The following is a 12,697-nucleotide window of genomic DNA, read 5'->3' on the forward strand; positions in this document are numbered from 1 at the left end:
TGAGCTTAATACCTGGGTGATGAAATAATCTGTACAACAAACCCCCATGACACAAGTTTACCTATGTAACAAGCCTGTACTTGTAATCCCGAACTTTAAAAAAATGTTTAAATTCCTTGTAGATTCTGGATATTAGACCTGTGTTGGATGTATAGTTTGCAAATATTTTCTTCTCTTATTCTGTAGATTGTCTTTTAAGTCTGTTAAGTCTGTTGATAGTTTATTTTGCTGTGCAGAAGTTCTTTAGTTCAATTAGGTCCCATTTGTCCATTTTTGTTTTTGTTGTAATTGCTTTTGGCATCTTTGTCATGAAGTCTTTGTCAGGTCTTATGTCTAGAATGATATTTCCTAGGTTATCTTCTAGAGTTTTTATAGATTTTGGTTTCAGGTTTAAGACTTTAATCCAACTTGAGTTAATTTTTGTATATCGTATAAGGAGGGTTCCACTTTCAATATTCTGCATATGGCTAACCAGTTATCCCAGCACCATCTATTGAATAGGGAATCCTTTCCCCATTGCTTATTTTTGTAGATTTTGTCAAAGGTCAGATAGTTGTAGGTGTTTGGCATTATTTCTGGGATCTCTATTCTGTTCTATGGGTCTGTGTGTCTGTTTTTGTAGAAATACCATGCTGTTTTGGTTATTGTTGCCTTGTAGTAGAGTTTTAAGTTGGGTAATTTTATGCCTTCCACTTTGTTCTTTTTGCTTAGGATTGTCTTGCTATTCCAGTCTTTTATGGTTCCATATGAATTTCAAAATAGTTTTCTTTAATTCTGTGAAGAATGACATTGCTAGTTTGATAGGAATAGCATCGAATCTGTAAATGGCTTTGGGCAGTATTGCCATTTTGATAATACTGATTATTCCTATCCATTAGCATGGGATGTTTTTCCATTTGTTGGTGTCGTCTCTGATTTCTTTGAGCAGTGTTTTCTAATTCGTATTGTAAAGGTCTTTTACTTCCTGGGTTAGCTGTATTCCTAAGTATTTTACTCTTTTTGTGGCAATTGTGAATGGGATTGTGTTTCTGATTTGGCTCTCAGCTTGGATATTGTTGGTGTATCGAAATGTAGCTGATTTTTGTACATTGATTTCATATCCTAAAACTTTGTTTAAGTGGTGTATCAAATCAAGGAGCTTTTGGGCAGAGACTATGGAGTTTTCTAGGTATAGAATCATATTGTCTGCAAACAGGGATAGTTTGACTTCCTTTCTTCCTGCTTGAATGCCCTTTATTTCTTTCTCTTGCCAGATAGCTCTGGCTGGGACTTCCAGTGCTATGTTGCATAGAAGTGGTGAGAGAGAGCATTCTTATCTTGTTCCGGTTTCAAGAAGAATGCTTCTATCTTTTGCCCATTTAGTATGATGTTGCCTAAGGGCTTGTAAGAGATGGCTCTTATTATTCTGAAGTATGTTTCTCCAATTCCTAGTTTCTTGAGAGTTTTTAACATAAAGGGATCTTACATTTCATCAAAAAACCTTTTCCGTATCTATCGAGTGATCATGTGATTTTTGTTTTCAGTTCTGTACATATGGTAAGTAGCATTTATTGATTTGCATATGTTAAACCAATCTTGCCCCCCAGAAATAAAGCCTACTTGACTGTGGTGTGGATTAGCTTTTCGATGTGCTGCTTAATTTGGTTTGCTAGTATTTTATTGGGGATTTTTGCATCAATGTTCATCAAGGATATTGGCCTTAAGTTTTATTTTTTGTTGCATCCATGCCAGGTTTTGGTATCAGGATGATGCTGGTCTTATAGAATGAGTTAGAAAGGAGTACCTCTTTCTTATTTTTTCAGAAGAGTTTCAGCAGAAATGATACCAACTCTTCCTTATACATTTGGTAGAATTTCGTTGTGAATGCATCTATCTGGTTTTGGGCTTTTTCTATTTGCTAGGCTCTTTATTACTGACTCAGTTTCAGAACTCATTATTGTTCTGTTCAGGGATTCAGTCTCTTCCTGGTTCCATCTTCAGAAGTTGTATGTTTTCAGAAATGTATTTCTTTTAGGTTTTCTACCTTGTGTGCATAAGGGTGTTTGTAATAGTCTCTGAGGGATTTTTGTATTTCTATCCCCTTTTCATTTCTGATTGCATTTATTCGTATCTTCTCACTTTTCCTCTTTATTATTTATCAAACTAGAACTCAGGATTAAGAAACTCACTCAAAACCGCACAACTACATGGAAACTGAACAACCTGCTCCTGAATGACTACTGGGTACATAACGAAATGAAGGCAGAAATAAAGATGTTCTTTGAAACCAACGAGAACAAAGACACAACATACCAGAATCTCTGGGACACATTGAAAACAGTGTGTAGAGGGAAATTTATAGCACTAAATGCCCACAAGAGAAAGCAGGAAAGATCCAAAATTGACACCGTAACATCACAATTAAAAGAACTAAAAAAGCAAGAGCAAACACATTCAAAAGCTAGCAGAAGGCAAGAAATAACTAAAATCAGAGCAGAACTGAAGGAAATAGAGACACAAAAAACCCTTCAAAAATTAATGAATCCAGGAGCTGATTTTTTTGAAAGGATCAGCAAAATTGATAGACCGCTAGCAAGACTAATAAAGAAGAAAAGAGAGAAGAATCAAACAGACACAATAAAAAATGATAAAGGGGATATTGCCACCAATCCCACAGAAATACAAACTACCATCAGAGAATATTACAAACACCTCTACACAAATAAACTAGAAAATCTAGAAGAAATGGATAAATTCCTCGACACATACACTCTCCCAAGACTAAACCAGGAAGAAGTTGAATCTCTGAATAGACCAATAACAGGATCTGAAATTGTGGCAATAATCAATAGCTTACCAACCAAAAAGAGTCCAGGACCAGATGGATTCACAGCCGAATTCTACCAGAGGTACAAGGAGGAGCTGGTACCATTCCTTCTGAAGCTATTCCAATCAATAGAAAAAGAGGGAATCTTCCCTAATTCATTTTATGAGGCCAACATCATCCTGATACCAAAGCCGGGAAGAGACACAACCAAAAAAGAGAATTTTAGACCAATATCCTTGATGAATATTAATGCAAAAATCCTCAATAAAATACTGGCAAACCGAATCCAGCAGCACATCAAAAAGCTTATCCACCATGATCAAGTGGGCTTCATCCCTGGGATGCAAGGCTGGTTCAATATATGGAAATCAATAAATGTAATACAGCATATAAACAGAACCAAAGACCAAAACCACATGATTATCTCAATAGATGCAGAAAAGCCCTTTGACAAAATTCAACAACACTTCATGCTAAACACTCTCAATAAATTAGGTATTGATGGGACGTATCTCAAAATAATAAGAGCTATCTATGACAAACCCACAGCCAATATCATACTGAATGGGCAAAAACTGGAAGCATTCCCTTTGAAAACTGGCACAAGACAGGGATGCCCTCTCTCACTACTCCTATTCAACATAGTGTGGGAAGTTCTGGCCAGGGCAATTAGGCAGGAGAAGGAAATAAAGGGTATTCAATTAGGAAAAGAGGAAGTCAAATTGTCCCTGTTTGCAGACGACATGATTGTATATCTAGAAAACCCCACTGTCTCAGCCCAAAATCTCCTTAAGCTGATAAGCAACTTCAGCAAAGTCTCAGGATACAAAATCAATGTACAAAAATCACAAGCATTCTTGTACACCAACAACAGACAAACAGAGAGCCAAATCATGAGTGAACTCCCATTCACAATTGCTTAAAAGAGAATAAAATACCTAGGAATCCAACTTACAAGGGATGTGAAGGACCTCTTCAAGGAGAACCACAAACCACTGCTCAATGAAATAAAAGAGGATACAAACAAATGGAAGAACATTCCATGTTCATGGGTAGGAAGAATCAATATCGTGAAAATGGCCATACTGCCCAAGGTAATTTATAGATTCAATGCCATCCCCATCAAGCTACCAATGACTTTCTTCACAGAACTGGAAAAAACTACTTTAAAGTTCATAGGGAACCAAAAAAGAGCCCGCATCGCCAAGTCAATCCTAAGCCAAAAGAACAAGGCTGGAGGTATCATGCTACCTGACTTCAAACTATACTACAAGGCTACAGTAACCAAAACAGCATGGTACCGGTACCAAAAGAGAGATATAGATCAATGGAACAGAACAGAGCCCTCAGAAATAATGCCACATATCTACAACTATCTGATCTTTGACAAACCTGAGAAAAACAAGCAATGGGGAAAGGATTCCCTATTTAATAAATGGTGCTGGGAAAACTGGCTAGTCATATGTAGAAAGCTGAAACTGGATCCCTTCCTTACATCTTATACAAAAATTAATTCAAGATAGATTAAAGACTTAAACATTAGACCTAAAACCATAAAAACCCTACAAGAAAACCTAGGCATTACCATTCAGGACCTAGGCATGGGCAAGGACTTCATGTCTAAAACACCAAAAACAATGGCAACAAAAGCCAAAATTGACAAATGGGATCTAATTAAACTAAAGAGCTTCTGCACAGCAAAGGAAACCACCATCAGAGTGAACAGGCAACCTACAGAATGGGAGAAAATTTTTGCAATCTACTCATCTGACAAAGGGCTAATATCCAGAATCTACAATGAACTCAAACAAATTTACAAGAAGAAAACAAACAACCCCATCAAAAGGTGGGCGAAGGACATGAACAGACACTTCTCAAAAGAAGACACTTATGCAGCCACAAAACACATGAAAAAATGCTCACCATCACTGGCCATCAGAGAAATGCAAATCAAAACCACAATGAGATACCATCTCACACCAGTTAGAATGGCAATCATTAAAAAGTCAGGAAACAACAGGTGCTGGAGAGGATGTGGAGAAATAGGAACACTTTTACACTGTTGGTGGGACTGTAAACTAGTTCAACCATTGTGGAAGTCAGTGTGGCGATTCCTCCGGGATCTAGAACTAGAAATACCACTTGACCCAGCCATCCCATTACTGGGTGTATACCCAAAGGACTATAAATCATGCTGCTATAAAGACACATGCACACGTACATTTATTGCGGCACTATTCACAATAGCAAAGGCTTGGAACCAAGCCAAATGTCCAACAATGATAGATTGGATTAAGAAAATGTGGCACATATACACCGTGGAATACTATGCAGCCATAAAAAATGATGAGTTCATGTCTTTTGTAGGGACATGGATGAAATTGGAAATCATCATTCTCAGTAAACTATCACAAGGACAAAAAACCAAGCACCGCATGTTCTCACTGGTAGGTAGGAATTGAACAATGAGAACACACGGACACAGGAAGGGGAACATCACACTCTGGGGACTGTTGTGGGGTGGGGGGAAGGGGGAGGGATAGCATTAGGAGATATACCTAATGCTAAATGACGAGTTAATGGGTGCAGCACACCAGCATGGCACATGTATACATATGTAACTAACCTGCACATTGTGCACATGTACCCTAAAACTTAAAGTATAATAATAATAAAATAAAAAATAAAAAAATAAAAAAAAATGTCTATCTTTCTCATTCATTCTTTCAAGGAGCCACCTTCTGGATTCATTGCTCTTTTGTATGGTTTTTTATGTCTCAATTTCCTTCAGTTCAGCTTGAATTTGGTTATTTCTTGTCTTCTACTGTCTGTGGGGTTAGTTTTCTCTTGTTTCTATAGTTCCTCTAGATGTGGTTTTGGGTTGTTAATTTGAGATCTTTCTAACTTTTTGATATGGGAGGTTAGTACTATAAACTTCCCTTATAACATTGCTTTGTCTATATCCCAGAGGTTCTGATATGTTGTATGTTTGTTGTCATTCGTTTCAAAGAATTTCTTGATTTCTGGCTTAATTTCATTATTTACCCAGAAGTCATTCAGGAGCAGGTTGTTTCATTTCCATTTAATTATATGGTTTTGAGTGAGTTTCTTAGCATCAATTTCTATTTTTATTGCACTGTGGTTCAAGATTGTAGTTGTTGTTATTTCATGTTTTTTGTATTTGCTGATGATTGCTTTATGCTCAATTTTTGGGTCAATTTTGGAATATGTGCCATGTGCAGATGAGAAGAATGTATAGTCTGTTGTTTTGAGGTGGAGAGTTCTGTAGCTATCTGTTAGGTCCATTTTGTCAAGTGTTGATTTAAGGTTCCGAATATCTTTGTTAGTTTTCTGTCTTGCTGATATGTCTAATACTCTCAGTGGAGTGTAGCAGTCTCCCACTGTTATTGTGTTGTTATCTAAATCTCTTCATAGCTCTCTATGAACTTTCTTTATGTATCTTGGTGTGCCTGTGTTGGGTGCATATGTATGTAGGATTGTTAGGTCTTGAATTGAGCCCTTTACCATTATGTAATGCCCTTTGTCTTATTTGATTTTTGTTAGTTTAAAATCTGTTTTTTTCTGAAATTAGGGTTATAACCCCTGCTTTTTTTCTGTTTTCCATTTGCTTGGTCGATTTTTCTCCATCTCTTTATTTTGAGCCTATGGGTGTCATTTTATGTCACATGAGTCTCTTGAAGATAGGATACCTTTGAGTTTTGCTTCTTTATCCAACTTGCCACCCTGTGCCTTTTTATTGGGGCATTTAGCTCATTTGTATTCAAGGTTGGTATTGATCCTGTCATCATGTTGTTAGCTGAGTATTATGTAGAATTGTTGATGTGGTTGCTTTATAGTATCACTGGCCTATGTACTTGTGTGTTTTTATGGTGTTTAATAAAGGTCTTCCTTTCCATATTTAGCAATTCCTTTAGGACTTCTTGTAAGGTATGTTTGGTGGTACCAAATTCCCTAAGCATTTGCTTCTCTGAAAAGGATCTTATTTCTCCTTTGCTTGTAAAGCTTAGTTTGGCCAGATGTGAAATTCTTGGTTGAAAATTATTTTCTTTAAGAGTGCTGAATACAGGCCCCCATTCTCTTTTGGCTTGTAGGATTTCTACTGACAGGTCTGCTGCTGGCCCAATGAGATTCCCTTTGTAGGTGACCTGCCCTTTCTGTCTAGTTGACTTTTACATTTTTTCTTTCATTTCGAGAATCTGATGACGATGTGTCTTGGGTGATCTTCTTGTGTAGTATTTTGCAGGGGTTCTCTGCATTTCCTGAATTTGAATATTGGCCTCTCTAGTGAGGTTGGGGCAATTTTCATGGACGAGATCCTGAAATATGTTTTCCAAGTTGCTTCATTTTTCTGTCTCTCAGGCATGCCCGGGAGTCATAGATTGGGTCTCTTTACAAAATCCCTTATTTCTCAGATGTTTTGTTCATCCTTCTTTATTGTTTGTTCTTTTTCTCTGAGTTATTTTGGTGAGCCAGTCTTCAAGCTCTGAGATTTTTTGCCCACCTTTATCAATTCTGCTGTTAAAACTTGCAATTACATTATGAAATTCTTATAGCGTGTTTTTCAGCTCTATTAAATCAGTTTGGTTCTTTCTTATAATAGCCATTTTGTCTATCAGCTCCTGCATTGTTTTATTGTAATCCTTAAATTCCTTGGATTGGGTTTCAACTTTCTCCTTCATGTCGATGATCTTTGTTCCTATCCATAGTCTGAATTCTATTTCTGTCATTTCAGCCATCTCATCCTGGTTAGGAACCATTGCTGGGGCACTAGTGCAATCCTTTTGAGGTAGGAAGGCACTCTGGCTTTTTGAGTTGCCAGAGTTCTTGCACTGGTTATCTCTAATCTTTGTGGGCTGATGTTCCTTCAATCTTTGAAGTTGCTGACCTTTGGTTGGTTATTTTTTTTCTTTTATCCTGTTTGGTGTCCTTGGAGGTTTGGTTGTAGTATAAGGTGAGTACAGTCGATTGGCTTCATTTCTGGAGGATTTTAGGGGGCCAAGACTCAGCTAAGGACTCCTGAAGTGCATGCTCTAATTCTGGGGAGTCGTATTGGGCCAGGCTTTGATATGTGGCCCCTGAATGTTAGGAACTTGCCACACTGGAGAGGCCGAATTCTTCCTGGACCGCTGGTCACAACACTCCTATGGGTGGTGCCAGCCACCATACTCCGTAGAGTGGTGGCAGTGTGATCCACCCTCGTTTGCACATGTCAACAGCAGTGGCAGTATGGTGGGGTGCACATTCATTGGCTGCAACATGGAGATTGCAGGTGCAGGCGTGCCGGCCTCTGTGGTGGTGTTCACAGTGGCAGCGGTGGCAGCATGGTGGTGGCGGGGGAGGTATCAGGCTCCGCCAGTGTCCCTGCATGCGTTTGCCCGGCAGTGGTGTTAGCACAGGGGTGGGGCACTGGTAGCACTGGACTGTGCGCGCCCTTTGTGTGCGGATTCACACAGGCGGCAGCTACTGCTGGGGGGTGGGGGCGGGTCCACTGGTCTCCCCACATATTTTCACACAGGCAGCAGTGTCAGTGCAAGTGCGGGGCGCTGGTGGGTGCTAGACTAGTGGTCTCTGAGCCGGCGAATGCTCTGATGACAATGGCGGCACAGCAGGGGATTGGGGGGCGGGATGCACGGACGCTGGCAGCTGTGGCACAGGAAGATGCATGCGCACATTCATGCTAGTGGGAAAGGGGAGGCAAGGCCCTTCTGCACACACGCACTGTCAAAACGATGTGACGGGTTGGGGGTGGCCATGGGAGAGTGCGTGCAAGCAAAGTGGCACGAGGGAGGCTGTTGTGGGGAGGACACGGGCAGACTGGTGCATGCCCACGGGGGCTGCTTCCCCTCCCACTTGAGCTCTTCACTGATCAAGTACTGTCTGCCAGTGGAGGAGGTATAATGAGGGCTCCCAGGAGGCACCCCACCTGGGCATCTGAGGCTGCACTACAAGCAGGCAGAGCCAGTCTGGGGCCGCGGGAGAAGGCAGTAGACTGAGGGGTGTTCTGGCCTCTTCTCATGGGCAAGACTACCCTGCAACGTTTAGGTCCAACAGTTTCCCTAGGGCTAAAGTGTCCTAGGGATGGGCATCCTTGGCCATGCTCCACCACAGAGGCTCCCACACCAACCCTCTGGGCTCCGCACTGACTGGAGTTCTGCCCCTACCACTTCTCTAAGCATCTCTCCCTGCCAACTCACATGTTCATGGGAGTTGTGGAGTCTCCTGCTGGCAGGTTTCCAGAGGCCCAGGGCAAGTGCAGGTTGCTCTTTACTTGCTCAACTCACTCCTTCCCGAGGAGTTGTTGGGGCCTAGAAAGGAGCCCCAGTGTGTGGTAGCCCCTTTCAGGGTTCCCAGATTCTTCCCTCTTCAGCCCCCATAATATTTATTTTAAAGTAAAATAGTTGTAGTGTGTTAACTCCTACCTCTACCTTCTTTGTAATTGCTTATGAGTAATACATTGCCTACAGAGACAAGAGGGTCACTTACTGTGCAAAACCTCTTACACACACTTATAAAACTATATGAACTAGTGAGTAGAAAGAGAACTGAAGGTTCCCTTTTCCAAGGCATGAGTACATACGTGCAATTGTCTGCATGTATCTATGTGGTATTTCCTGTGTTGCCCAAAATAGAATTTATAGGGAGGGCCTAGCAAAAGTAGAAATATCTTCTTGTTTTTTAATGCTTTACTAAAGTAACTACATGTATAGATGCAAAGTTGAAGCAAGTTAAAAATGTGAATCACAATGCAGTTTTTGTAGCTTTGCATTACTCTTAACTGGAATTATGATAGTATTAATAGACATTTTGCATTTAAAAGATACTAATCCTTACTTCTTCCAATTCAAATGCCAACCTGGTATACATGTCCCTAGTCACTTTTCTTTCTATAAATAAGAAAACAAAACAAAGAAACAAAACAAGGAACAATAAATAGCACTTAATATCAGAATTTTAAAAAGTAACCAGAATGGTTTCATGTGACAAACTTCCTTAATTTTTACCTTGCAGCCCACTAATTGCTGAATTGCATTTTGGAAGAATATGAAAAGTGGATACAAAAGGGGAGGGAGAGATGGAGAACGTGGAAACAAAGACAGTAGATTAGGGAGGTGGAAAGGTCAGCGTGGAGTATATCTCTATTCAACACTGGAAGATGGTGGCTAGAATTACATTGGGCAGAAAAAGGAACAGAGTGACACTCCCTGTATACAATATCTTTTTTATTTATTTATTTATTTATTTATTTATTTATTTATTTATTTATTTATTTTTTGAGATGGAGTCTGGCTCTGTCGCCCAGACTGGAGTGCAGTGGCGCGATCTCGGCTCACTGCAAGCTCCGCCTCCCGGGTTCACGTCATTCTCCTGCTTTAGCCTCCTGAGTAGCTGGGACTACAGGCGCCCGCCACTAGGCCCGGCTAATTTTTTGTATTTTTAGTAGAGACGGGGTTTCACCATGTTAGCCAGGATGGTCTCAATCTCCTGACCTCGGGATCCGCCCGCCTTGGCCTCCCAAAGTGCTGGGATTACAGGCGTGAGCCACTACAAAATCTTAAACAATTTGCCTGATATTACACATCTAGTGTTGAAAGGTTAAGTGATTTTCCTAAGGAAAATTGGTTCTCAGAGTGTGGGTTCTAGTCCCAGATTTTGCCACTTTTGCAACTTTAGTTTAGTGGTTCTCAAACTTGATCATGTATCAGAATCCTCTGAAGAGCGTGTTGCTGAGCCCTCCCCACAGAATTTCTAATTCTTTAGGTCTATTTCTAAATGTTCACATGATGCGGATGCCACTTGTAACTACATGTCTTAACTCATTTATTGCTTTAACAAATGAATGAGAGAAGTATTTTTACTTGCCTGATACTATACATTTAGTATGTAAAAAAAAAAAACAAAACAAACAAACAAAAAAAAAAACTGTGACATGAACCCAGGATATGAACTCTGGATCTAGAATAAGGGTACTTAAGACTATGTCCTATATACTTCTGAATTTTACAATGTGATACTTTGATAGAAATATTCACAGGGCATGGTTAATGCACCGAAGTAGAGCACCTAGGACAAACTGAAGATTTAGGGAAGGCTTTGCAGAAAAGTTCATAGATTATAGGTAAAGCAGTACTCAAAAATGTCTGAATCCATCTCAGGCACTTAGTAGCTGTGTGATCTTAATAACTTATTTTCTTTGGGTCTTCATCTGAAAGTTTGTAAGGTTATCATGCAAATTAGGTAATATAGATAATGCCTGGCACATGGTGGATGCTTAACATATAGCTGATTATTACATTAAGGGAAATATTTTAAAATAATGAACATGTGTAAAGAGATGAAATAGTTGTTTGGGTAATGGGAAACAGGGAGACTTGTTTGTGTAATGGGTAATGGAGATGGTGTTGATTAGGATAAAACTATGATGAAGGCCAAGTTGAAGATAGAAATCATGCATTTATAATGGCACCGGTTCAAATAAATGGCTCTGCTTTTCTCTAGCAGTGATCAGCTCCATGGGCATAACAGTAATGAAGGCATTTGTTCATTCAGCAACTATCTATTGAGCACCACAGTAAACCAGCCACCACACTATGCACCAAGGACATCAGGGTAAATAAAGCAGCCCTCATGGAGCCCTCTGCATTCTAAAGATAGTGGGTGTTGGATGAAGGAGGTGGTGGTCGTTTTTTTTTTTTTTAAAAAAAGAGAATAAGGCAGAGAGTTAGAGTAATCCAGAGTTGGGGTTTTGCTAAGTGGGAAGGGCAGTTCAATAAGGAGGCAAAGCAGTTGAGGGTGACAGTAAGATAATGGTTGTTGTCATTAATATGAAAGCAAGAAAAATCAAGTGGGAGGGAGCTAATAGATGGAGAAAAGACAAGATATACAAGAGATTAAGAGAGAATACATTACAGACACCAAAATATTGACATGGAAAAATATATACTATATATATTTGAGTGAGAAAACGTACAAAATAGTATATATGGTGTCATCCCATTTACATTAACCTATATATTATATAAAATTATATATTATTTAAAATCTAAGAATTAGAAGAATCTAGTTAGTGAAAAGTCTGAATTAGAAAATATTCTATTGACTTTCCTTTATCTTCCAAATTATTTTGAATTTGTGGAGCTTTCCTAGATTTTGCCTGACAGATGGCCACAGATATGCTGTAATTATATAGTAGAAGGCACCTTTTGGGGTGTAGCTTATAGAATTCATTTCATGACAAAATATGGTCTCATCTACACATGAACAGTTGATAAATTTTTAATGAATATCTATTTAAATCTATATAATTTTATATTGTGTTATATAAAATTATGTTTATGTTTATATCTATTGGTATATTTTTAATTTAATGTAATAGATAATAATATACAAAGTTTATATATAATATGTGACATATCAAATATATTTTAAACTCTGGCCTACATATGTTGAAATCACATAAGTGGAAGACAAACAGTGGTGTGTTGGCAGTAGGACGGTACCTAATATCATCAGTTTAATATCTTAAAACAAGTTATAGTATGCCATGCATTTTTGAGCTCCTTGCCCAAGATGTTGCTTGTGCCATGAAAGTACATCACAAAGGAAGATACATGGAATTCTTTACTAATCCTAAAAGGGCTTGTGTTTTTTGTTTTTTGTCTGATGATTTTCATAATCTACATTAACTCTTAAAATGAGACATTTGCTCATATCTGCCCTGTTACCTGGGGGGAGGGAGGAGGGATAGCATTAGGAGATAGACCTAATGTAAATGACGAGTTAATGGGTGCAGCACACCAACATGGCGCATGTATACATATGTAACAAACCTGCACGTTGTGCACATGTACTCTAGAACTTAAAGTATAATTA

The 12,697-nt window shown here is 39.0% G+C and overlaps 1 protein-coding gene across 3 annotated transcripts in view; it reads right to left on the reverse strand.

Annotated features, from left to right (window-relative positions):
- POF1B (POF1B actin binding protein) overlaps positions 1-12,697 on the reverse strand; it is a 102,270-nt gene that overhangs the window by 40,727 nt on the left and 48,846 nt on the right. The gene's annotated exons all lie outside the window — the stretch shown is intronic.

Source organism: Homo sapiens, chromosome X (genome assembly GCF_000001405.40).
Source record: "Homo sapiens chromosome X, GRCh38.p14 Primary Assembly".
Taxonomy (NCBI): domain Eukaryota; kingdom Metazoa; phylum Chordata; class Mammalia; order Primates; family Hominidae; genus Homo; species Homo sapiens.